This window comes from Homo sapiens, chromosome 5, assembly GCF_000001405.40.
Source record: "Homo sapiens chromosome 5, GRCh38.p14 Primary Assembly".
Lineage (NCBI taxonomy): Eukaryota > Metazoa > Chordata > Mammalia > Primates > Hominidae > Homo > Homo sapiens.
Window position 1 is genome coordinate 176,949,652 of NC_000005.10, and position 26,435 is coordinate 176,976,086.

The window sequence follows — 26,435 nt, forward strand, 5'->3', positions numbered from 1 at the left end:
ATCAGGTTCCAGAGAACCAGGCAGTGTGCATGATTCATGAAGGCAGAATATTTACCCAGTTACCTGCAGCGCAGAGACCAGGGAGAGGATCTAACTTCTATTGTAAAAACTTTTTTAAAAATCCCAGGCCGGGCACAGTGGCTCACGCCTGTAATCCCAGCACTTTGGGAGGCCTAGTGGATCACCTGAGGTCAGGAGTTTGAGACCAGCCTGGCCATCAGGGTAAAATCCCATCTCTACTAAAATACAAAAATTAGCTGGGCATGGTGGCGGGCACCTGTAATCCTAGTTACTTGGGAGGCTGAGGCATGAGAATCACTAAAACTCCGGGAGGTGGAGATTGCAGTGAGCCGAGATCGCACCACTGCACTCCAGCCTGGCAGACAAGAGCAAGACTTTGTCTCGAGGAGAAAAAATACAAAATTCCAGAATATAAAAAGGAACCTTTCTTTTTTTTTTTTTTTTTTGAGACGGAGTCTTGCTCTGTTGCCAGGCTGGAGTGCAGTGGCGCGATCTCAGCTCACTGCAACCTCCGACTCCCAGGTTCAAGCCATTCTCCTGCCTCAGCCTCCCAAATAGCTGAGACTACAGATGCGCACCACCACGCCCAGCTAATTTTTGTATTTTTAGTAGAGACATGGTTTCACCATGTTGGCCAGGATGGTCTCAATCTCTTGACCTCGTGATCCACCTGCCTCACCCTCCCAAAGTGCTCGGATTACAGGCATGAGCCACTGCGCCCGGCCAAAAAGGAACCTTTCTTACAGTGCGCAGGATAAGAAAGTATACACCAATGTAACCAAAATCTTTATTTCTACTGAGGAATTTGGCTCTCAGGTTGCTTGTGACAGCAACAGATTTTTAAGATTTAAAAATTTTTAAAGGAATTCCAGGTAAACTGTTTTGTTAGACTCAACATTAAAAATACATACTGAGGACCGGGCGCGGTGGCTCACGCCTGTAATCCCAGCACTTTGGGAGGCTAAGGTGGGCAGATCACTTGAGGTCAGGAGTTCAATACCAGCCTGGCCAACGTGGTGAAACCCCGTCTCTACTAAAAATATAAAAATTAGCTGAGCATGGTGTCGTGCACCTGTAATCCCAGCTACTCGGGTGGCTGAGGCAGGAGAAACACTTGGACCAGGAAGGCAGAGGTTGCAGTGAGCCGAGATCGTGCCACTGCCACTGCAGCCTGGGCAACAGAGTGAAACTCCATCCCAAAAAAAAGAAAAGAAAAGGAAAAATATACACACCGAGAATCTTAATCAGAAGTATGAACCTGTATCAATCAGCTTTATGGTTACTGCCAGATATGTAAAGTGAGGAAAGGTAATGATGCAAATAGATTTATTTTATCAGACAGCTATCTTGACTTTGCATTTCTGATCAAATTAGGGCTGGAAGTTATGTATACATCATAATATAAATATAGTAATTTTTTCCAAGACTGTTTGTCTCTGTTACTTATTGGTACATAATAAAAAATGCCCTGTAACTTTGGATTCAAACCCGTGTTCAAATTATATTTCTACCATTATTAGTAGTATGATTTAGAGCAAATTAAACATCCTAAGCCTCTGTTTCCCCATCTCTAATAGAAATAATAATGCATACAAAAGTACTCAAGAAATGGTAACTACTGTTATTTTTAGAAACAATGCTGAACTAATCTTAACTATAAAAATCTCTCCCTAACATAAGGGCCCCCAAAACTAAAACCCCCTGCCACCTAAATCTTTTCAGCCAATGTCAACGTTGCATCAGAGAGAGGACTGCCAACGGAAAGAAACCACTGAGAAAAAATATAGAGGAAAATATTCACCTCCTTATCTGCCATTATTATTCTGACTCCATCCAAGATATCTCTGCTACCTGGAGAGACTTCTCTTTCAAGGTCAAAAGTTTCAGAGGAACTTAGCTGGGTCTCTGTAATTTAAAAAAGTTAAAATCCCATTAATTTTCATTTTGTGTTTTCATAATTAAAAAAACAAACATGCCTATTTTCACCTAAAGTTTAGGATATGACAATACTGTGGTGGCAATATATTAATAGATCTAGTTTGTTTCTTCTTAAAGCTTTACTGAGGCATAATTTACAAATAACAGAATTCATAAATTTTCAGTATACAGTTTAATGTGTTTTGACAAATGTATACCATTTATATACTACCATTTATACCATGTAACCTCTACGATAATCAAGATATAAAACATTTCCAACACCCCAAAAAGTTCTCTGTACCCCTCTGCAGTCAATCTCCTACCTCTTTGGTCACTGCAATGAACTCTTTATAATGACCAGTTTACTTTATGTTCCTATAATTTTGTCTCTCATATAAATAGAATCACATGTCTTTTGTGTCCAGCTTCTTTTACTTAGTATAATGTGTCTGAGATGGACCCATGTCGTCACATAATATCAATAGTTCATACTTTTTGCTGCTGAGTAGCATTCCATTGTATAGATATATCACAATTTGTTTATTCATTGACCAACTGATCAACTGGCTTATTTCCACTGTAATTCTAGTTTTAAAGTATACTGATTTGACAGAAAACAAGAACCTGCCAATGTTAGTGCTGAGGTTAAAGAGATGATTAGCAAAAACAGAAATTGGGACCAGAAATAGAATATACATTCTAGACAAAGATATGCCTTTCTTTAATATATTCTTTAAGCAGCATCTATTAATTCAACAAATAATTGAACATCAAGTCCCAGGCATTATACTCGCTATCAGTAATATGAAAATCTAAGATGGGGTCCCTTGTAGTCTAGTTCAGGGGCCAGAAAACTAGATACAGCTCATGGGCCAAATCCTGTCAGCTGCCTATTTTTCTAAGTAAGGTTTTATTGGAACACAGCCATGCTCATTCATCTATGTACTGTCTATGGCTGTTTTTGCACTAAAATGGCCGAACCAAATAGTCTCAACAGACTATACGGCCCACAGGGCCTAAAATATTTCCTATCTAGTCTTTTATTTTTAAAAAGTTTGGCTGGGCACAGTCACTCATGCCTGCAATCCCAATGCTTTGGGAAGACGAGGCGGGAGGATCACTTGAGGTCAGGAGTTCAAGGTTGTAATGAGCTATGATCACACCACTGCACTCCAGCCTGAGTTACAGAGTGAGACACTGTCTCACACACACAAAAAAAAGTTTGCCAACTTCTGCTGTAGACACATATCACTTAATATAACAACAATAAAAAAAATAGTAATTATCTTTCAAAACCACCAATGTATCTGGAAAAGAAACATTACAGACTGAATGTTTGTGTACCCCCCGAACTTCGTATGTTGAAATCCCAACCCCTAATGTGATAATATTAGGAAATGTGACCTTTGGAAGGTAATTAGGTCATGAGCATAGGGCCTTCCCTCAAAAGAATGGGATTAGTGCCCTTTTATAAGGGACCCCAGAGAGCTCTCTCACCCTCTTTCCACCATGTGAGGACACAGCGGGAAGTTGTCTGGCTCTCACCAGACACTGAATCTGCCAACTCCTTGATCTTGGACTCTCCAGCCCCCAAAACTGTGAGAAATAAATTTATGTTGCTTATAACCCACTCAGTCTAGAGCATTTTGTTACAGGAACCCAAACTAAAACCAGACATTTATTTCAGAATGCAAATCCAGTAAGTTCTCTGTTATCTGACACTATACCTGCTGTACCTCTAATTAGCACTTTGCTTCACAAAACAATAAATGGCCAATGTCAGGCAAATAGGGCATCTGCAAGTTTCTAATGTATCTTCTGAATCATTAAGAAAGGATTAAATACATTTCTAGAATTAATTATATTTTAATACATCACAAATTTTTTTGAAAACTGGACACATACACACACACACACACACACACACACACACACACACCTTATTGGAAAAAGGCTTACAGGACATAAACTTCAAAATCCTGTCAACTTTCCCTAAAGGTATTTTCAAAAAGATATTCAGCATATTTAAAAGTAAGAACCATTCACTGCTTAGATTACTGCAATAATAAAAAGTCTTCAATTATGCTTTCTGTGAATGGCTGAAATGTCCAACTAAGAGGGCATTAGCTTCTCAGAAAAAAGCAATGCTAGAAGCATGCAAAATGTAGGCATAAGGCTATAATCCTGCTTCTTCAACTAAGTAACACTAAAAAGATATTGTAATCTTAAATATTAGACTCCTGAACTGTCAGAAATATGAAACAAAAGTAAACAGGTAACAGTCTACTACACTAAATATGTGTTTCACCCATTTGGAACAAATTTTTTCAGATAATTTATATATATAACTTCTAAATTATATATTTAAAAAGAAACCCAGGAGTTTGGCTTCATGGTGAAGCAGTTATACTTTCTTAGCAAAAGGAACATTAATGTAATGAATACCTTTTGCAATCTCATTTAGAAGTGGTTTATGTCAGCAAACAGTTGGACTTAATTAGCAGGCTAATGACAGCAAGTCATGATCATAAAAGCTATCTAACCTCAGTATGAAGGGCCTGCTTTTCCCTCTCATTAACTAGGCCTTTCAAGATCAATATATTTGCAGGTTCCTCCTGCAAGATCCCATGGTGATGTCACACGCCATCATCCTAAACAGACTGAGTGATTTCCTTCTAGGAAGTCAGTAGTCCCAGACAGAGGGGGAAAGCTTTCTTTTCACAAAGGTAGCACAGTATTCTTGAGTGCTCCTGCCAAAATCTGAGCACTCGGTAGTGTAGTCTCTTAGTGGGTATTGTTAGGCAGTAATCCAAACACATTTCAAATGAATTAAGGAGCCACTTTCAATAAAAACCAACATAGGCTGAGCACGATGGTTCATGCCTAATCCCCAGCACTTTAGGAAGCCAAAGCGGGAGGATTACTTGAGCTCAGGAGTTTAAGGTCAGCCTGGGAAACACACCAAGACCTCGTCTCTACTAAAAAAAAATAATAATAATAATTTTTAAAATTAGTTAGGTGTGGTGGCACATGCCTGTAGTCCTAGCTACTCGGGAGGCTGAGGAGTGAGGATCATTTGAGCCAAGGAGTTCAAGGTTACAGTCAGCGAGCCATGACTGCGCCACTGCACTCCAGCCTGGGCAAAACTCTGTCTCAAAAAAAAAAAAAAAAGAAAAAAGCCAACATAGTCCGATTTTTAAAATAAATAAAGACCTTTATGATAGACTGCCAGATGTTTAAAAATATTTATAGGTCTTTCCTAGATTACATGCAAACTAAGTTTGAGTCTCTGTGGAAAAACATTGAAGGAAACCAAAATAAGAAAACTATGATTATCTCTAATCCTTATAGGCTATACGAGACCTGAGGGAAAACCAGATGTGACTTAGGGCAACATCTGTATACTTGCTGTTCAAAGTTAAACATCAGTAGGAAGTCCCTCAATCTCACAGGAATGAGGCTAATGATCTTTTCAGAAAAGCCAGAAAGGAAAATATAGTCTAAAACAAATTCCTTAGAAAGTAGTGGTTCATATCACAAAATAATGCTTCATATTATACAATGATTCAGGAGTTTCTTAGATGGTAAGTATCTTAGTTCATTTTACATTATTTTGTATATCTAAATCTATCCATGTGCAACTTTGAATGAGCATCTCTTCTACCTAAAACAAAGTACCTATCTTTTAATTTTTACAATTAACAAAAAGCAAACTAAAGCACTTAACGAGGTTAAGCATCTTAGGTCTAAGATTAAAAATAATGACAGAACATGCACAAAACTCAATTTCTGAACCTCCTATGCAGTAAGACCCCAACAAATGGCAATATAAAAACTAACTACTAAAAGGCTGTGAAGTCCAGGCACAGTGGCTCACATCTGTAATCCTAGCACTTTGGGAGGCCAAGGAGGGAGAACTTAAGCCCCGAAGTTCAAGGCTGCAGTGAGCTATGATTGCACCACCGCACTCCAGGCTGGCTGACAAAATAATTTAAAACAATTTAATTTAAAATAATTTAAACAAATTAAATAACAAAAGGCTCTGAATGTACAGTTAAGCAAATGCTATTCCTGATGCTTTGCTGCCATCTCTGATGAGGCCTGTAAACAATCAAGAAGACAAAAAAAGTCATGTTAATTTCAAAACTAAATTACCCCTAAGGAGAGAAAAGATTGAGAATAAAAGCCAATGGCCATTAAAAACACCTATATGTGTATACGCATACGAGTGTTGAGACATGTACATACACGTATCAATTACATACAAACCTCCAGAGAGTAGGTTTGAAGAGTCAGAGGAAAATTAATAGGCATGAAAAGGTAAATAGGTATCAGAAATTCAGTAAAATCACAGTGGGGTACTTACCAGGACAAACAGTGATTTCTTCTGCAGAACTCTCTGGCATAAGGACTAAGCTTCTCTTACTGGTCAAAGCAGCAACACTGAAAGAGAACCAAATCCCAAATGAATTCCCAGTAAAATAAATCAGAACATAGAGCCAAAAGCAATGGTGAGTCACTCACAAAGCCACAGGTAATCACAGATACTTGCTGCCTAATACCACAAAAGCACAATAGGAAAGCAAGGAATCAGTACTGAAAACTCCAGACCAGAAATATGGAAAATAAATATGCTTACAACTTCAGTTCCAGTGAAATCACTGAATGAAAACAAATTCCCTTTTGGAGTTTTCACAAAGGAAGGTTGAAGGGTGAGAACTGTCTGTGAATATCAGAGAAGGCAAAAACTCCACTCCAATATAAGGATGTCAAAGGTGTTTTATAGCCTCCATCTCAGCCTTCTGAAGGCTAGAGATTTGTAAACTGACAAGAGAAGACACAGAGATTCTTCTGACAACACACTTTCTCCTCCTTTTGCAGTTAAATCTCCTCTTTATCTCAAGATGTTGCTTTCCATGCAACAAAAATAAAAAACAATTCCAAACTGCCCTACAGCAAAAATCTGCCCACATAAATTGAATCTCTTTTCTAACAAAAACTTAATTATGAATGGCTTCCTTCATCCAACCTTCTGGTTTTCCCTGACTGCTCATGGAGTGCAATCTCTTCCTGACATAGGAATACATGGCTGATCTGAGCATCTGAGCTAGCCCCCTCATGCTTCACAGGGCTTTACGATTAGTTTGATCAAGTATGCAAGAGGATGCTTGAAAACAAAAATCCTCACATCAACCAAGAACCACAGAGAAGACAGAATAGCTACAACTGAACTCATGATAAATAACTAAATCCTGATAGAAAACCACAAGTGATTTATCTCTAAATAAAACATCTCATAGCATTTGTTATAAACCCCAGCCAGACAGTTTACTCTGCATGTAACATTAGTGCTCTATTCAAAGGGTCCATCACAAAACAATTTTCTGACATTTATAAAATGGGCTAATCAATTTGAAGTCAAACCACATTGCCTGCGATTCCAACTCTCTCCTGGTGACAAAGTGTATAATCATTTATTAAAACCTACATCTGCTCTGCACAAGGCTCACCACAATAAAGCAGAGAGGCCTATAGGGAGTAAAGGCATACTCTGTTAAAACCACTTCCAAAACTGTCTTAACAGCAGGAAAATCAAACCAAAGCCATATTCTTTAGCCCAGGAAGGAATACCAAGTACTATCAACCAGAAGCCTAAGAAAGACCACCACCTTGACTACAGCAAATGGCAAGTGGGCTTCAACTCTCATATGGGAGAACAGTCATGCAGTTCAAAACTAAGCTCTTGAGAAAGTCTCAAAACTCAACTACTAGATAAAAAGGGCAAGTGGAAAGTAACTGGAAGCATGATCCAGTTAATAGTGCAGTTTATAATTAATCAACTGCTATCTATTATTAAAGTAAGAAGACTTAGAAGGTAAGCCCATCAATCAATCAGCAAGAACAATGGAGGAGGTAATGCAAATACCATCCTTTACAGGAGATAGGAGGCACAAACGGATTAAAAGTGGCACAGGACAGACAGTGAGAGTGACACAGGTCCTGTGTGGCCTGAATAATATGAAGACTTTGAAGAGGATGTTAAGTCTCAAGAGTAAATTTAAAAGATGTATAAGGTTTAGATATACAGATAAAATAAGCATAAGCAGAGTTGGGGAAAAGAGAGAAAGGGGCTAAGAATAGAAGGACTATAAAGAAATCAGTCTAGAGCCTTCAAATTGGCATAGAAAACTAGTGTAATTAGTTAAGAGAATTGCAGGATGTGACCGCTTTTCAGAAATAATGTAAATGAGATTTATGCCAAGATAGCTGGCCTGGACAAGATGACCTCTAGGATCTCTTCCAGCTCTTAATATTCTGGGCTTCTATGAGATGCACATCTGAGAACTTAGAGATACTAATAAAATTTCTCCTAGTCTTCACTTATAAAAGAGCTAAAAGTTCTCTGGCAAGCTGTCCACGTACAGTCTCACTCATGTGGTTCATCTCCCTTATGCTGGCAACCATCAGAGGAGAATGCATAGCAACATATAATCTCTCACCTTTGTGAAGCAGGTACAGAGTTTCCCTCTTCAGAAGTTTCTTCAACAATCCCTTGGGAAGACTGCAAAGAAATACGTAGTATCTTAAATATACAGGCACAGGTGAACTGGCTTCTCTTCCTTTTTTAAAAAAATTTAATTGTTCAATGTTCTCCCTCAACAATTAACAATAAGAAGAAAATATTTTCCATAAGCCAGTAAGTGTCAATAAAACAAGCACATCCTGTAAAGTCAGAAGACTGGTATTTAAATCAGAACTAAATCACTTACTAAATTTGTGATTGGGTAAATGACATCTGAATCTCTTTCCTCATCTTAAAATGGGTATTAACAATTGCCTCACAGAGTGTTGTGAAAATTAAACAAGATAATGTACACAATGCACTTCATAACATGCAAGACCTGTATCAATATTAACTGGTAAGTCAAATGAATTATGATTTCAGAAAAACAATCAAAAAGTTTGCATGGGGGAAAGGAAAATATAGAGAAAAGTTCAATTTTCAAAGGAAATACTGAGTTGAGATAAACACTGCAATCTATGATCTTTGAGAAAAACCAAGCCATAACACAGGACATCTAAAGGGAAGGTTACAAAGATTCTTTTTGCTACAAATCTGCCACTATGGTTTTTATATCTGGCTACAGGATTATCTTTTCAGAAATGTAATGAATAGGGACTACATAAGGAAAGATTATTTTCATTGATTCAAAAATTATTTTCATTGATTAATGGTAGAGTTGACGCAAATACCAACTCATTAAACATACATGCACAGAAGATCACAGAAAAAGCAGCTACTGCTGCCTTAGGCAGACTTCTGAGGAAGTGCCTGGGCTGTGAGGCTTCTTCCACTAGACATAAAGCTACCAGCTGAAGTTTTCAAGGTTTCCTAATAAGATATGAATAACCTAAACAAGTTAGGCATCTCTTTATGAATCTCGCTACCATTCAGGTAAATGATGAAATACATTTAAAAATCAGGAATAGTTGAGTTTTCAGTCAAAAGGAAAGTTGTACAATAATAGGGAATATAGTCATTATGAAAAACAAGACTTAACCAAACTACCAAAGGACTAAAATACAACAGCAATAAATACTTAACCTGTCTCTTCCTTTGAACTCAGGGGTGACAAGGTTTTTATTGAACTCTCAGAAAGAGAAAGAAAGAGAAAGAGAATGCTGACACCTAGTGTCCATTTAACAGAATTTTATAATGACTAGCCTTGGTCTTTAGATGCAATCAAAGCACTAGTAAGTTAGTTATAAGGCACCTCCATCTCTGCCTTAGGCTAAAGCATATCTCAAACCTTCTCAGTGTAATTGTTTAAAAAAATTATTGGCCGGGCGCGGTGGCTCACGCCTGTAATCCCAGCACTTTGGGAGGCCGAGGCAGGCAGATCACGAGGTCAGGAGATCGAGACCATCCCAGCTAAAACGGTGAAACCCCGTCTCTACTAAAAATACAAAAAATTAGCCGGGCGTAGTGGCAGGCGCCTGTAGTCCCAGCTACTTGGGAGGCTGAGGCAGGAGAATGGCGTGAACCCGGGAGGCGGAGCTTGCAGTGAGCCGAGATCCCGCCACTGCACTCCAGCCTGGGCGACAGAGCGAGACTCCGTCTCAAAAAAAAAAAAAAAAAAAAAATTATTGTGCTTTGGCCAGGCGCGGTGGCTCACGCCTGTAATCCCAGCACTTTGGGAGGCCAAGGTGGGCGGATCACCTGAGGTCGGGAGTTCAAGACCAGCCTGACCAACATGGAGAAATCCCGTCTCTACTAAAAATACAAAATTAGCCGGGCATGGTGGCTCACGCCTCTAATGCCAGCTACTCGGGAGGCTGAGACAGGAGAATCGCTTGAACCCAAAAGGTAGAGGTTGCAGTGAGCCAAGATCGTGCTATTGCACTCCAGCCTGGATGACAAGAGTGAAAACTCTGTCTCAAACAAACAAAATTATTGTGCTTCTATTCAGTGCCAGGCCTGTGCTAATCACTTTACATTCCTTATCTCCTTTAATTCTCACAAGCAACTTAAGAAGCAAAAACCATTAAATTATTTTAAAAATAAGTGAAACTTCGAGAGGTTAAATAATTTGCCCTAAATCATATAGTTGGTCAAAATCGTAGCGCTGAGACTTGCCTGACTCTAAAATCCACACGCTAAAAACTATTATATTGCTTACTCAGATGATCCTCTTCCTAATCATTTCAATGTAGAATCCCAAGAACGTCTTCATTTCAATACATTATTTTAATTTAGAAATTTATACCTCAATGGCAGTAATCTGAACATAAAGTGAGGTTCTTCCAGAATATGAACACAGGATAGCAAAATAAGCAAATAAAATTTAGACTACCCAAATGTAATCAAGGTGAACATGAAAGCATGGCAGAAATAAAAATTTAAGGAAGCTATGGCCTAATCAAGACATCTTCTTCCTGGAGAAATAATATGTTAATAAGGAAGGGATGGTTTGCATTGAATCTTAAAAAAAAAAAAAAATTCAGCCCTCTCTCCCTCTCCCCCTCCCCCTCCCCCTCCGTCTCCGTCTCCGTCTCCGTCTCCGTCTCCGTCTCCCCACGGTCTCCCTCTCATGCGGAGCCGAAGCTGGACTGTACTGCTGCCATCTCGGCTCACTGCAACCTCCCTGCCTGATTCTCCTGCCTCAGCCTGCCGAGTGCCTGCGATTGCAGGCACGCGCCGCCACGCCTGACTGGTTTTGGTGGAGACGGGGTTTCGCTGTGTTGGCCGGGCCGGTCTCCAGCCCCTAACCGCGAGTGATCCGCCAACCTCGGCCTCCCGAGGTGCCGGGATTGCAGACGGAGTCTCGTTCACTCAGTGCTCAATGGTGCCCAGGCTGGAGTGCAGTGGCGTGATCTCGGCTCACTACAACCTCCACCTCCCAGCCGCCTGCCTTGGCCTCCCAAAGTGCCGAGATTGCAGCCTCTGCCCGGCCGCCACCCCGTCTGGGAAGTGAGGAGTGTCTCTGCCTGGCCGCCCATCGTCTGGGATGTGAGGAGCCCCTCTGCTCGGCTGCCCAGTCTGGGAAGTGAGGAGCGTCTCCGCCCGGCCGCCATCCCATCTAGGAAGTGAGGAGCGCCTCTTCCCAGCCGCCATCACATCTAGGAAGTGAGGAGCGTCTCTGCCCGGCCGCCCATCGTCTGAGATGTGGGGAGCGCCTCTGCCCCACCGCCCCATCTGGGATGTGAGGAGCGCCTCTGCCCGGCCGAGACCCCGTCTGGGAGGTGAGGAGCGTCTCTGCCCGGCCGCCCCGTCTGAGAAGTGAGGAGACCCTCTGCCTGGCAACCACCCCGTCTGAGAAGTGAGGAGCCCCCCCGCCCGGCAGCTGCCCCGTCTGAGAAGTGAGGAGCCTCTCCGCCCAGCAGCCACCCCATCTGGGAAGTGAGGAGCATCTCCGCCCGGCAGCCACCCCGTCCGGGAGGGAGGTGAGGGGGGGTCAGCCCCCCGCCCGGCCAGCCGCCCCATCCGGGAGGGAGGTGGGGGGTCAGCCCCCCGCCCGGCCAGCCGTGCCATCCGGGAGGGAGGTGGGGGGGTCAGCCCCCCGCCCGGCCAGCCGCCCGGTCCGGGAGGTGAGGGGCGCCTCTGCCCGGCCGCCCCTACTGGGAAGTGAGGAGCCCCTCTGCCCGGCCAGCCGCCCCGTCCGGGAGGGAGGTGGGGGGGTCAGCCCTCCGCCCGGCCAGCCGCCCCGTCTGGGAGGTGAGGGGCGCCTCTGCCCGGCCGCCCCTACTGGGAAGTGAGGAGCCCCTCTGCCCGGCCAGCCGCCCCGTCCGGGAGGGAGGTGGGGGGATCGGCCCCCCGCCCGGCCAGCCGCCCCGTCCGGGAGGGAGGTGGGGGTGTCGGCCCCCCGCCCGGCCAGCCGCCCCGTCCGGGAGGGAGGTGGGGGGGTCAGCCCCCCTGCCCGGCCAGCCGCCCCGTCCGGGAGGTGAGGGGCGCCTCTGCCCGGCCGCCCCTACTGGGAAGTGAGGAGCCCCTCTGCCCGGCCAGCTGCCCCGTCCGCGAGGGAGGTGGGGGGGTCAGCCCCCCGCCCGGCCAGCCGCCCCGTCCGGGAGGGAGGTGGGGGGGGTCAGCCCCCCTGCCCGGCCAGCCGCCCCGTCCGGGAGGTGAGGGGCGCCTCTGCCCGGCCGCCCCTACTGGGAAGTGAGGAGCCCCTCTGCCCGGCCAGCCGCCCCGTCCGCGAGGGAGGTGGGGGGGTCAGCCCCCCGCCCGGCCAGCCGCCCCGTCCGGGAGGGAGGTGGGGGGGGTCAGCCCCGCTGCCCGGCCAGCCGCCCCGTCCGGGAGGTGAGGGGCGCCTCTGCCCGGCCGCCCCTACTGGGAAGTGAGGAGCCCCTCTGCCTGGCCAGCCGCCCCGTCCGGGAGGGAGGTGGGGGGTCAGCCCCCCGACCGGCCAGCCGCCCCGTCCGGGAGGGAGGTGGGGGGGGTCAGCCCCCCGCCCGGCCAGCCGCCCCGCCCAGGAGGTGAGGGGCGCCTCTGCCCGGCCGCCCCTACTGGGAAGTGAGGAGCCCCTCTGCCCGGCCACCACCCCGTCTGGGAGGTGTGCCCAACAGCTCATTGAGAACGGGCCAGGATGACAATGGCGGCTTTGTGGAATAGAAAGGCGGGAAAGGTGGGGAAAAGATTGAGAAATCGGATGGTTGCCGTGTCTGTGTAGAAAGAAGTAGACATGGGAGACTTTTCATTTTGTTCTGCACTAAGAAAAATTCCTCTGCCTTGGGATCCTGTTGATCTGTGACCTTACCCCCAACCCTGTGCTCTCTGAAACATGTGCTGTGTCCACTCAGGGTTAAATGGATTAAGGGCGGTGCAAGATGTGCTTTGTTAAACAGATGCTTGAAGGCAGCATGCTCGTTAAGAGTCATCACCAATCCCTAATCTCAAGTAATCAGGGACACAAACACTGCGGAAGGCCGCAGGGTCCTCTGCCTAGGAAAACCAGAGACCTTTGTTCACTTGTTTATCTGCTGACCTTCCCTCCACTATTGTCCCATGACCCTGCCAAATCCCCCTCTGTGAGAAACACCCAAGAATTATCAATAAAAAAATAAATTAAAAAAAAAAAAAAAAAAAAAAAAAAAAAATTCAAAGAATTATTATCAAAGGGTATTTTTAATACTTAAAAGTGAAAATGGGGCTGGGCAGAGTGGCTCACATCTGTAACCCCAGAACTTTGGGAGGCCAAGGGGGGCGGATGCCTTGAGGCCAGCAGTTCAAGACCAGACTGGCCAACATCGTGAAACCCCATCTCTACAAAAAATACAAAAATTAGCCAGGCATGGTGGTGCATGCCTGTGACCCCAGCTACTCAGGAGGCTGAAGCAGGAGAATCACTTGAACCCGGGAGGTGGAGGTTGCAGTGAGCTGAGATCGTGTCACTGCACTCCAGCCTGGGTGACAGAGTGAAACTCCATCTTTAAAAAAAAAAAAAAAAAAGTGAAAATGAATAGATAAATCATCTGGTCATCACAGAAATGTCCTCTATTGTGTGACACTGGTAGTTTATTAGGTTTTTCCACAGACTAGTTGAACCATCCCTTAAAAATTCCATTTTCTGATTATTTCAACCCTCCAGATACTGTCATTCTAGAAGACAGTAGATACAGGTCTGAGTATTCTGGTCACTGAAAATGTCTCTATTCCATAATAAATAAATAAACTGTCATTTTGTATACATACATCAGCGTGAAGTTTGGCAAATCAAAGTCAGTTCTCACAACCCCACACAATCTGGTCATTTCTGATAAAAAAAAAAAAATTCCAATATCCGGACTGAAAAATTAAGTATCAGATTCTGAAAAGTAGTAACCACATTAACATACTACCCCTTCCAACTCCTTGTCATAATGCTCTCAAGGTGATCTACAGGCCTTCATTAGCAACTTTATCTTGTCTCAGTGATGCCAAAAACCAGTTATCATCTGATTCTAAAGCTTTAATAACCTTAATATAGACTAAGTTATGTGCCCCAAAGTGAATGTTTCTCTGAGTCCCTATTTTTGAGACTCTCTTGCTATCTCTATCAACCAAGAAGTCTCAAATACAGGCAGCTCCACCAAAGCTGTGTTCAATAGAAAATGTTTAACAAACGAATTCTTTCTACCCACATTTCCTGAAAGCAAAAGATTGAGAGGTAAAACTACAATCACAGGACCTACATTATTTGCCTATAAAATTAGTTGAAGTTTGTTTTTTAAAGGTACAATTATTTGTTGGCAAGGCTTCAGTGAACTAGATATTCTCATACATTGCCAAATGGAGAGAATACAAATTGTAACAGCCTTTCTGACAAGCAATTTGGCAATAAATATCAAGTCTTTATGTTCATAACTCTTTAACCCATCATTTTTATGGCTCATGACTAAGTACACTGATGAGGAATAAAGAAAAGTTTCATATAGAAAGATATCACAACTGAAATATCCAGCAATAGAAAAATGTTTAAAATATTATGGTAAATTCATAAACTGGAATATAATATAGCCATTAAAAGTGAAATATATAATTTAACATGAGAAAATGTCTACATGATATTAAAGATACAAAAATAATATGATCTGAACCATACAAAAAATAGGTAATATTCTTTAAACTTTTCAGCATTTTTTAACATCTCCAAGTGATTTTTTTATTAAAGTTAATGTCTATATGCTTACTAGGTTGTCTGCCTTGTCTGCTTTCACTGAGGACTGTCCCTCACCCCTCCCATTCCCATTAGCAGTGGGCTTACAGCCAATTTGACAAGTAACCTCCATCAAGCCACAGCTGACTGGGCTACTGACACCAAATGGGCCATAAATCCTTTCCTGAAAATTTAAAATTTGAATTGGGAGAGATTAAGTCTCCTGTAACCCATAATAAGTTTGAGAGCTATAGAATCAGTGTCTTCAACCTACACCTGAAAAACAAAAGCAAAAGAGTGCCAAGTCTGCAGGGAGAAAAATGAAGCAGACACAATATAACCATGAGATACAGAAAAATCAGATGCCCAGTACCTTCTTTGGGCCTGGTTATAGTTCTATTTTAAAACTTCTGAAGCCAGGCGCGGTGGCTCACGCCTGTAATCCCAGCACTTTCGGAGGCCAAGGTGGGTGGATCACGAGGTCAGGAGATCGAGACCATCCTGGCTAACACGGTGAAAACCCTTCTCTATTAAAAATACATAAAAAATTAGGCGGGTGTGGTGGCGGGCACCTGTAGTCCCAGCTACTCAGGAGGCTGAGGCAGGAGAATGCGTGAACCCGGGAGGTGGAGCTTACAGTGAGCCAAGACTATGCCACTGCACTCCAGCCTGCGCAACACAGAGAGACTCCATCTCAAAAAAAAAAAAAACTTCTGAGATACCTCGCTTCCTTATAAAGTCCTCTTTTAATTTTTTTATTTTTATTTATTTATTTTAGTAGAGACAAGGTCTCACTAAGTTGCCTGGGTTGGTCTCAAACTCCCAGGCTCAAATGAATTCTCCTGCTTCAGCTTCCCAAAATGCTGAGATTAGGCATTAGCCATTGTGCCTAGCCAAGTCCTCTTTTTAATTAAGCTAGCTTAATTCAGTTTACTGCAGCAAATAGTATTAACTGATAATACTACCTGTAGTATTTGGTGGTCTGGTCATGAAGTTAAGAGTCAAAGAACTTCAATCTAATTAAGACCATCCACTAGATTTTGACTTCTTCCAGGCTACTGCAAAGGCAGTACTTTCAAACTTGACACAACACAGAACTTGACACAAGTCTATGATGTAGAGCTCTGGCCCCTGGGATCTTGCAAGCTAACAACTTGAATTACAATAAATCATTAAGTGTCACTCTTTGGAGTTAATGTATTATTTTAAGAAGCAGCATCTCCGAATTGGAAAGAACAAACTAAACATTTATCATAAGCATCATGTAACTTTCCTTTGGAAAAGAAACCAGTCACTAAAATAACTATTTCTTAAAAATGCCTTCTTTGCTGATATACCTTCAGAAAAAAAATTTCTTTAAATAAAAATGCCTTCTCTTCCTAGACAACAATCTTTCCAGAATGTGAATGAAGATGGTTACTAGGAAATAATGATTCCTAGAGGCATCTCCCCAGTGAATGACCTTTGATCCCTTAGAGAGAATTACCAGTTGTTCAGTGCCTATGCTATGCATTGCAGTAGACATTTTACACAAATTCACTTTAATCATTAAAATAACTGTCGAAAGATAGGAATTGTTATTCCCACTGTATAGACGTGAAACTGGGATTCAAAGAGGTTAAGTGACTTGCTCAAAAACACACAAATTACTAAACACAAAAATCAGAACTCAACTCCAAATCCATGTTCTCTATTCTATGAAGCTCCTCAAAGTTACCATTTCTTGAACCTTTATCATAACACAAGAAAGACAGAATAACATAATAGTAAAACAAAACCAAAAGTCAAAGTCTGGTAACAGAAATAGCAAGAAAAAACAGTATAGTCATAAAACAGAATACTCTTTAAAATTACAATTTATATATAAAGAGTTTATATTATTGCTTTATAATATTCAAAGGGAAAAATAAGATATAAGCTTTCATACACAATATAATCTAGCTACTTCAGAAAAAGCAAACTAAATGTACCAAGATGAAGATTGGTTTCAATAAATTATTCAAAACCACTACAAGCAAAATAATAAATATACACCATTATGTAATGGGAAAAAATAACTCGGAAACTATCCATACTTCATATCACAAAGGACTACTTTCTCTACTATATAAAGTGTATCCACAAACCAATAGATTATCAAAAGAAAAAATGATCATAAGATCTAACAGACAGAAAAGGAAATACAAATGGGTCTTAGACATGTGAGAAAAAAGTTCAGCCTCACAAATAGTAAGAGATACGCAAATTAAGACTACACTGAGACGCCATTTTTCATCTCTCAGACTGGCAAAGATCAAGAAGTCTGACAATACTGCATTACTGTAGGTATGGAGAAACTAGTATTCATACACTGCCAGTGGGAATGTAAATGTATATGATCTCTATGGAGGGCAATTTGGCAACAGCTAATGAAATTATAAATACATTTTTTGGTCCACCAATTACAGCTACAGAAAATTATCATATAATACAAATATCTTCCATGTGGATGAAATGTCTTCTGGACATTTTACTATCTGTAACAGTAAACTCTGACTAATCCACACATGGTATTTTTCACATCCAAAAAAAAAAAAAGATGAAGAAATTCTTTATATACTGTTATGTAATGATCTCATTAGGATATTAAATGAAAAAAGTAGAAAATAATGTGTAAATCATTTGTGTAAAAGAAGGCAGGGAAAAGAAAATGTATTCTGCTTGTACCAGATAAAGTATCTTGGAAGGATACACTAGAACTAGTAACACAAATTTGAGTCCAGAGAGGGGAACTGGCTGGCTAGGTGATAGGGAGAAAAGTTAAGACTTTTTACTTATATATTTTTGAATTTCGAGCCATGTGAATATTGTTACCTATTCAAAAATTTAACCTTTCAGAAATAATAATAATTTTTAGACCAGGCGTGTTGGCTCATGCCTACACTGCCAACACTTCAGGAGAACAAGGTAGGTGGATGGCTTGAGTACAGGAGTTCGAGACCAGCCTGGGCAACAAAGTGAAACTCAATCTCTACAAAAAATATAAAAATTAGCTCAGCGTAGTAGCGTGCACCTATGGTCCCAGCTATTGCGACGGGCTGAGGTTGGGGGATCGCTTGATCCCAGAGGTGGAGGCTGCAGGGACCCAAGATGGCATCGGTGCACTCTAGCCTGGGTGACAGAGCGAGACCTTGTCTTTAAAAAAAAAAAAAAAAAATTTATACAAAAAATAAATTATGGTTTATCTATGGTAGAATAAGTCATCTATTAAGAAATGATCTAAGATAAACTATAAAGTAGGGAGAGGAACAAAACTTAACACAGAAGAGTCTTCATTTTGTTCAAAAAATTTTTTCATGTATTTTTGTATGCATAGAAATGATGACTGGCCAGGTGTGGTGGCTCACGCCTGTAATCCCAACACTTTGGGAGGCCAAGGCATGCAGATCACAAGGTCAGGAGTTCAAGACCAGCCTAGCCAACAGGGTAAAACCCCGTCTCTACTAAAAGTACAAAAATTAGCAGGGCATAGTGGCAAGCACCTGTAATCCCAGCTACTTGGAAGGCTGAGGCAGGAGAACTGCTTGAACCCGGGAGGTGGAGATTGCAGTGAGCCGAAGATTGCGCCATTGCACTCCAGCCTGGGAGACAGAGCGAGACTCCAACTCAAAAAAAAAAAAATGGTAGTTTTTTTCTTCTTTATACTCTCCTGTACTTTCCTAATTTTCTATAGTGAACATGTATTACTTTAATAATCAAGGAGGGGAAGACCACAAAAATAACAGCTAAAATAATCCTTGTTTTAATCTGTGAATAAATCATCCTTAATTACAGCATCACTGACCCTTACCTGACCATGACTGGTTGTTGGTTCTTCCTCCAACAAAAGTTTCTCTTTCAAGCTTTTAATTGAGCTTTCCTGGAAATCCTTGGTTTTTGAGTGCCAGTCAGATGCCCTAGACTCCTGCCTCTCCTCTTTGTCTTCATCTCCCATATCTTCTGAGATGCATTCATTTTTCTCACTAGCCTGCTCTCCTTGGCCACATTCATTCTGGATCAGAGAAGGAGGTCTAGGTAACACTGGTTCCCCAAAACCTTTTTTATTAAGGAGCTGCCTCTGAGCCATTTTCAGGCTCTTTTGATAAACCTCCAACTGGCAGAGAATGACCTTGGTATACTGGTTAGGGTCTACTCCATCAGGGCAGAATGGAATACCCCAGAAATAGTTCACAGTGCCCCCAGTGTCCTGGAGACCTTTGGCATCTGCTAGGGTAGGTAGACAGTGCCTAGATGTGTCCCCGCTACCCTGGACAGCTTTGAGAAAAGCAGAACCCCTCCCAGTACTTTCCTGTGGCTTCCCACACTGTGTGTGCTCAGCCGAGTGGCCAGTACATCTGTCAAAAGATTTAACGTTCACATTCTCAAACACTGGCTGGCTTGACTGGTCCCAGCTTCCTGAGCTGCCAGAGACCGGCTCCTCTTCAGTTTTTTCAGTGTGGTCCCAAGGCTCCTCTCTTTCCTCAGCCTCGTTTCCCTGACTGATATGTGAGCCTTTAAACAGTGATGGAGGTACCAGCTGCCATATGCCTGTAGGTATTTGAGAAAAAGTAGGGCTAAGGACAAACTTTTTTATTAAGAGGGCTTGGTAAGTTATCACTTACCAAGAATTACATAATATGGGTAAGAAAGGCTCTTCTTTGGGTTTAACCAAATGTTGGTTTTTCCTTGGAGATAAAAGTATGCCGGATATTCTTATGATCTCAACTACTTCCTGATTTAACTTCTTTATTATCACCAAAAGGATCTGGGGTATTTCCGTGTATCTACTCTCAGCATGAGATCCCTGTGGTACAGTTATACTTGATGAATGGAAGGAGTCAGAACAGGGAGACATGCCTTCAGTGAGCCCAGAGTCTGTGGTTTTCTCTTGATGGGACTGGGAAGACGGTCCAGTGGCCAGAGGTCGAGATCTGGTAGCGGAAGCATCAGAAGGCCGGCAACTCTGAAACAAGTGATCCCATACCAGACCAGGTTTATTATTAAAATAACTATATATGAAGGGTCACAGGAAGGACAAAATGGGAGGCCACCGTTCATAAGACTTTCTCTTTCTAAAATGTAAATGGCTCAATTTAATTTCACAGCATATGCTGAATGTCTATGTGCAAAGTGTTGTACTAGATCACTATACTAAACCCTTTTTTAAAACAGGGAGGCAAATGGCATAAAAAGATGGTTCAGGACCTGCCACTGGCAAGTATCCTTCACATTTAAAATCATTTCAGGCTGGGCGAGGTGGCTAATGCTTGTAATCCCAGCACTTTGGGAGGCTGAGGCAGGCAGATCACCTGAGGTCAGGAGTTCCAGACCAGCCTGGCCAACATGGTGAAACCCAGTCTCTACTGAAAATACAAAAAATTAGCTGGGTGTGGTGGTGGGGGCTTATAATCCCAGCTACTTGGGAGGCTAAGGCAGGAGAATTGCTTGAACCCAGGAGGCGGAGTTTGCAGTGAGCCAAGATTGTGCCACTGCACTCCAGCCTGGGCAATGGAGTGAGACTCCATCTCAAAAAAAAAAAAAAAAAAAAAAAATTCAGTTGTGCATATTCAAATGACAATTTAACTTTATTTCATTATTTTTTTAAAACTGCCCATTCTTTCTTCCCATAATCCACCTCTAGTTCTCATTCCCTTTGCTCTCCCACAATACTAGAGAAGTTAGCATCTTATCTTGCTGCCTTCTGGTTCTTGGTATTCAGTAAGTCTTTTCAGAAGCTGTCAACTTATGATAATTCTTTCAACCATGAACTAAAAAATCCATGGGGTGGAAGAAAACTCTTTCATATAGAATTAACAAAATACTTTAAATTGGGTTAACCAACAATTCAACACAGACTTTAAAAAATTACTATGGGAATTTTTGTTAGGTGAAAACCCTATAAATGACTACAGCTAGTTCCTAATGCAACTACAACACCACAGAAGTCAAAAATATAGCTGATCAATCTCCACAAACTTTTGCAACATGGCATATTTACATTCAGGCTTTCAGCAATGGCTTTCCTCAAGAGCTCCTCTTCTTCCTCCTCCTGGCTGTTCACCTCCCTAGCTTCCTGCTCACTCATTTTGAGAGCCAGAGCAAACTGTTCTTCTTCTGTCATCTCTGTAAGAGGATAGGGAAAAGAGAAGGAGGAACACCACAAACACTGAATAATCATGGAGGCAAGAAAGAGAATTATTAAACTTTTCAACTGAAGACACTACCAGACCACTTAGTACAATTTTATAATCTTGTAAATGAGGAAAACCCCAGAAGGAAAGGTGTTGGCCAAGATAATTAGCAGCAGTTACAACAAGAATCTTGGGTTAACTAGGCTGTAAGCTCCCATGAAGGCAGAGTTTTTACCTACACTGTTCACTGTTATACCTCCAGCACATAAAAAAGTGCAGGGCACATGGTACGTAATAAATATCTGCTAAATGAATAAACAGAGGAATTAATGCCCACTCTAGAGCTTTTTGCTAAATACCGCAACGCTTTATGCTCAACATTTAGCCAGAACAATTTTACTCTTCAGAATCCTCTGATTTACCCAGTAGAAAAGAACATCCCTAGTGACAAGAATGTGGTCTCCAGACACCATTTTTCATTTAAAAGGAACCGGGGTACACTGAAGAAATGGCTGGGTCCCAAGTCCAAAGCATGAAATGAACAAGATGAGCTAGAATATTTGTCACTGTATTAGACACTACTAGACACTATTAAGCAAAGACTCTATTAGACACTACTAGAGTCATATCGAAAGAACTTAGGAGCCAATTAAATAAAGTCCTCACTGGCCAAAAATGGAACCGAAGCATCAATAAAGATAATGAATGCAATGCTTTAAATCACATCAAATATATTTAAATCTGTAAGTTAAGGCCAGGCGTGGTGGCTCACGCCTGTAATCCCACCACTGTGGGAGGCCAAGGTGGGAGGATCATGTGAGGTCAGGAATTCGAGACCATCACGGACAACATGGTGAAACCCTGTCTCTACTAAAAACACAAAAATTAGCCAGGCATGGTGGTGGGTGCCTGTAATCCCAGCTACTTGGGAAGCTGAGGGAGGAGAATCACTTGAACCCGGGAGGCGGAGGTTGCAATGAGCTGAAACCATGCCATTGCACTCCACCCTAGGTGACAAAAGCAAGACTCCATCTCAAAAAAACCAAAAACAAAAACAACTGTAAGTTCATACTAATATTTTTTAAAAATACATAGACTAACCAGTCACTGTTGAAGAATGTCAGTGAATCCACTATTTGAAAACTGATAAAATAATAGAATTGCTTTTATCCTACTTTTTCTACACAAGCTATACTACTGGGTAACCAAGCAAATTAAAAGCTCCTCTTTATAGAATTATTACAGGCCAGGCGCGGTGGCTCACGCCTGTAATCCCAGCACTTTGGGAGGCCAAGGTAGGCGGATCATGAGATCAGGAGATCGAGACCATCCTGGCTAACACGGTGAAACCCCGTCTCTACTAAAAAAATACAAAAAATCAGCCAGGCATGGTGGTGAGCGCCTATAGTCCCAGCTACTCACGAGGCTGAGGCAGGAGAATGGCGTGAACCCTGAAGGCAGAGCTTGCAGTGAGCAGAGATGCGCCACTGCACTCCAGCCTAGGCAACAGAGTGAGACTCCGTCTCAAAAAAAAAAAAAAATCAATTCTACAAAAAGGTCAATAAAATGCATAAACCTCGGCCAGGAGCGGTGACTCATGCCTGTAATCCCAGCACTTTGGGAGGCCAAGCCAGGCAGATCACCTGAGGTCAGGAGTTTGAGACCAGCCTGGCCTACATGGTGAAACCTCATCTCTACTAAAAATACAAAAATTAGCTGGGCGTGGTGGCAGGCGCCTGTAATCCCAGCTACTCGGGAGGCTGAGGTAGGAGAATCGCTTAAACCCGGGAGGCGGAGGTTGCAGCGAGCCAAGATCACGCAACTGCGCTCTAACCTGGGCGACAGAACAAGACTCCATCTCAAAAAATTAAAAAATTAAAAAATTAAAATGCATAAACCTCTTAACTGCTCAAGAACAAAAACACAACAACAATTAACAATACCGACAATAAAAGAGGAAACAAGATTATAAATTCTACAGTCACTAAAAGAATAAATAAGGGAATACTATGAATGATTTTATACCAGTAAGTCTGGCAACTTCTTTTTTTTTTTTTTTGAAATGGCGTCTCTCTCTGTTGCCCAGGCTGGAGTGCAGTGGCGTGATCTCAGCTCACTGCAACCTCTGCCTCCCAGGTTCAAGCGATACTCCTCCCTCAGCCTCCGAAGTAGTTGGGATTATAGGTGCCTGCCACCAGGCCCGGCTAATTTTTGTATTTTTAGTAGAGACGAGGTTTCACCATGTTGGCCAGGCTGGTCTCAAACTCCTGACCTCAGGTGATCCACCCGCCTCGGCCTCCCAAAGTGCTGGGATCACAGGCATGAGCCACTGGGCATGGCCAAGTCTGGCAACTTCTATCATGCATTCTCAACAAGAGTGATACCATCCCCAAGTGGACAAAAATTGGTTCTTGGAGGCAAAAATAAAATAAAATAAAAATCTTTTTATATATAAGATACAGACATACAATCAGTACATAAAACGGAATACAAAGCTTATCTGTGGTATTAAAAATATCATGGGGATGGCAGTGGTTAGAGGGAAAAATAGTCTAAAAAGGCACCTCAGGAGAGTAACAATGAAAAACAGGGCCAGGTACAGTGGCTCATGCCTATAATTGCTCAAGTCCAGGTGGTCGAAGCTGCAGTGAGCCAAGATCACACCAATGCATTCCAGCATAGGTGACAAAGTGAGACCCTGTCTCAAAAAAAAAAAAAAGAAAAGAAAAAAATAAATTTTAAAAAATAGCTGGGTGTAGTGATGCACACCTACAGTCTCAGCTACTCAGGAGGCAGAGGTGGGAAGATCACTTAAGCCCAGCAGTTCGAGACCAGCCTAGGCAACATAGTGAGATCTTGTCTCTACAAATAATAAAAAACTAGCTGGATGTGGTGGTATACACCTGTGGTCCTAGCTACTTGGGAGGCTGAGATGAGAGGATCACTTGAGCCCAGGAGGCAGAGGTTGTAGTGAGCCACTGCATTCCAACCTGGACAACAGAGGGAGACCCTGTCTCAAAAAGAAAGAAAAAAAAATTAGCTGGGTATGGTGATGCATGCCTGTTAGTCCCAGCTATTCAGGAGGCTAAAGCTGGAGGATCACTTGAGCCTAGGAGGTTGAGGCTACAGTGCTGCAGTCACACCACTATATTCCAGCCTGGGCGACAGAGTAGGACCCTGCCTCAAAAAACAGTAGTAATAAACAAATAATAAAATTAAATTTATATAGGAATGCAAAGGACCCAAATTAATCAAAACAATTTTTAAAATAAAGTTGGAAGAATTATACTACCTGATTTTAAGACATTATAAAGCTACATTAATCAAGACAGTGTGGTATGGCATAATGACAAACATAAATAAATGGAAAAGAACAGAAAATTCAGAAATAGACCCATGCATTGATTTTCAACACAAGGAAAGGACAGTCTTTCCAGCAAATGGTACAAGAATGATTGGATATCCATATGGGAAAAAAATGAACCTTAATTCTTACCTTGCACCATATACAAAAACTCAAAATAGATCAGAAATCTAAATGCTAAAGCTAAAACTATAAAATTTCCAGAAGAAAATAGGTGGAAATCTTCATAACCTTAGCGTAGTCAAAGATTTCTTAGGACATAGAAAGAAAAAAAACCATAAAAGAGAAAAAAATGGACCACATCAAAGTTTAAAACTTCTGTTCTAGCCAGGCATGGTGGCTCATGCCTATAATCCCAGCACTTTGGAAGGCTGAGGCGGGTGGATCGCTTGAGGTCAGGAGCTGGAGACTAGCCTGGCAAACATTAGCAGAGTGTAGTGGCATGTGCCTGTAGGCCCATATACTCAGGAGGCTGAGGTGGGAGAATCGTTATGAACCCGGGAGGCAGAGGTTGCAGTGAGCCAAGATCACGCCAGCACACTCAGCCCGGGTGACAGAGCACGATGCTCCGTCTCAAAAAAAAAAATAAAAAGGAATCATAAAAACAGATTTTGCTGCTCTGTAAGTTCAGAATGGGGGCTAACTGGTGGCTGTCACCTGTAATCCCAACACTGGGAGGCCCAAGCTGGAGGATTGCTTGAGGCCAGGAGTTTGAGATGAGCCTGGACAGCACAGCAGGACCCTGTGTTAAAAAAAAAATTAAAATTAGCCAGGCGTCGTGGGGCATAGTTGGGAAGCTGAGGCAGGAGAATCACTTGAGCCAATGAGTTCAAGGCTGCAGTTAGCTATGATCATACCATACCCCTACACTTAAGCCTGGGTGACAGAGTGAGATCCTGTCTCTAAAAAAAAAATAAATTTAAAAAAATTTTTTTAAAGATTCAGAATGACCACTTCTGGCTTCCACTGAAGATACAGGAAACTGAAAAAAGTTATTGTTCCAATCCTTACAACAATAGCAACAAAAACTGATAAATTCACAACTTTTCTTGAATCTATCAGAGACCTAAGAATGCAACATAATCAACTAGTCCAAAATGTATCAGTTCTATGACTATTACAATTCCCAAACCATTATCAACAAAATGAAAACATACGTGCGATTTTTCTTTTGGCCAAACACTTTGCTCTATTCGACTGTTTTGTCTTCGTTTTCTGCAACCCATTTTCCTCCTTTGGTTCCTGTTGCAAAACAAGAAATATCATCAGTGTGGCTGCCACTAAAAGTAGTGATTTCTCTCTCTTCTACCTCCCCTATGGCTAAGAGAGGCCTCTGAGGAATTGGTGATTGTTATAAATATGCACATAAAACATTAGAAGATCCTTTTCAGTACAAAAGGGAAAACATAAGATCTAGAACCAATAAAAACTGTAAGAACAAAAATGTGATATATTGGCATTATTATCTGTCATATAAACAGTCAGACAAAAACTAGTCTATCTCTAAAATACCAGTAAGCATCACCAAAGATCAGAGTAGCTTGATTGAAGATATGAAAAAACAATAATAATGTTTAAACTCAGCGTGTATTCATTTATTTTAAATCACTCTTTTGGACAATGGATAGTAAAGGAAAGGAAAAAGAGGGTAAATGAAAAATCCTATAGAAGCAAAAGAGAACCAAATACACCAACCCTACACCCCACCCTAAAATTTAATAAGAAACGCAAACAAAATAATCAAGAAAACAAAAAATAAAATAGAGAAAGAAATAAAAGGCCAAGCACAGTGGCTCATGCCTGTAATCCCAGCACTTTGGGAGGCTGAAGTGGGAGAATCGCTTGAGG

The 26,435-nt window shown here is 42.0% G+C and overlaps 1 protein-coding gene across 15 annotated transcripts in view; it reads right to left on the reverse strand.

Annotated features, from left to right (window-relative positions):
• Positions 1 to 26,435, reverse strand: part of UIMC1 (ubiquitin interaction motif containing 1) — a 117,598-nt gene that overhangs the window by 44,647 nt on the left and 46,516 nt on the right. For 8 of the 15 annotated variants that reach the window (NR_146150.1, NR_146149.1, XM_006714871.3 and 5 more), the window contains 7 exons: positions 25,745 to 25,829; positions 21,091 to 21,215; positions 19,950 to 20,055; positions 18,904 to 19,640; positions 8,442 to 8,503; positions 6,308 to 6,384; positions 1,823 to 1,926 (listed from right to left, as the gene is read on the reverse strand). Coding sequence is in view for 13 of the 15 variants with exons in the window: in XM_006714871.3 (XP_006714934.1) it covers positions 1,823 to 1,926; positions 6,308 to 6,384; positions 8,442 to 8,503; positions 18,904 to 19,640; positions 19,950 to 20,055; positions 21,091 to 21,215; positions 25,745 to 25,829 (1,296 nt within the window). In the remaining 2 variants the exon portion in view is untranslated. Of the gene's footprint in view, positions 1 to 1,822; positions 1,927 to 6,307; positions 6,385 to 8,441; positions 8,504 to 18,903; positions 19,641 to 19,949; positions 20,056 to 21,090; positions 21,216 to 25,744; positions 25,830 to 26,435 lie in introns of those variants that run through there. The other 7 variants (XM_017009577.2, XM_005265932.4, XM_005265933.3 and 4 more) reach the window with 4 other exon arrangements.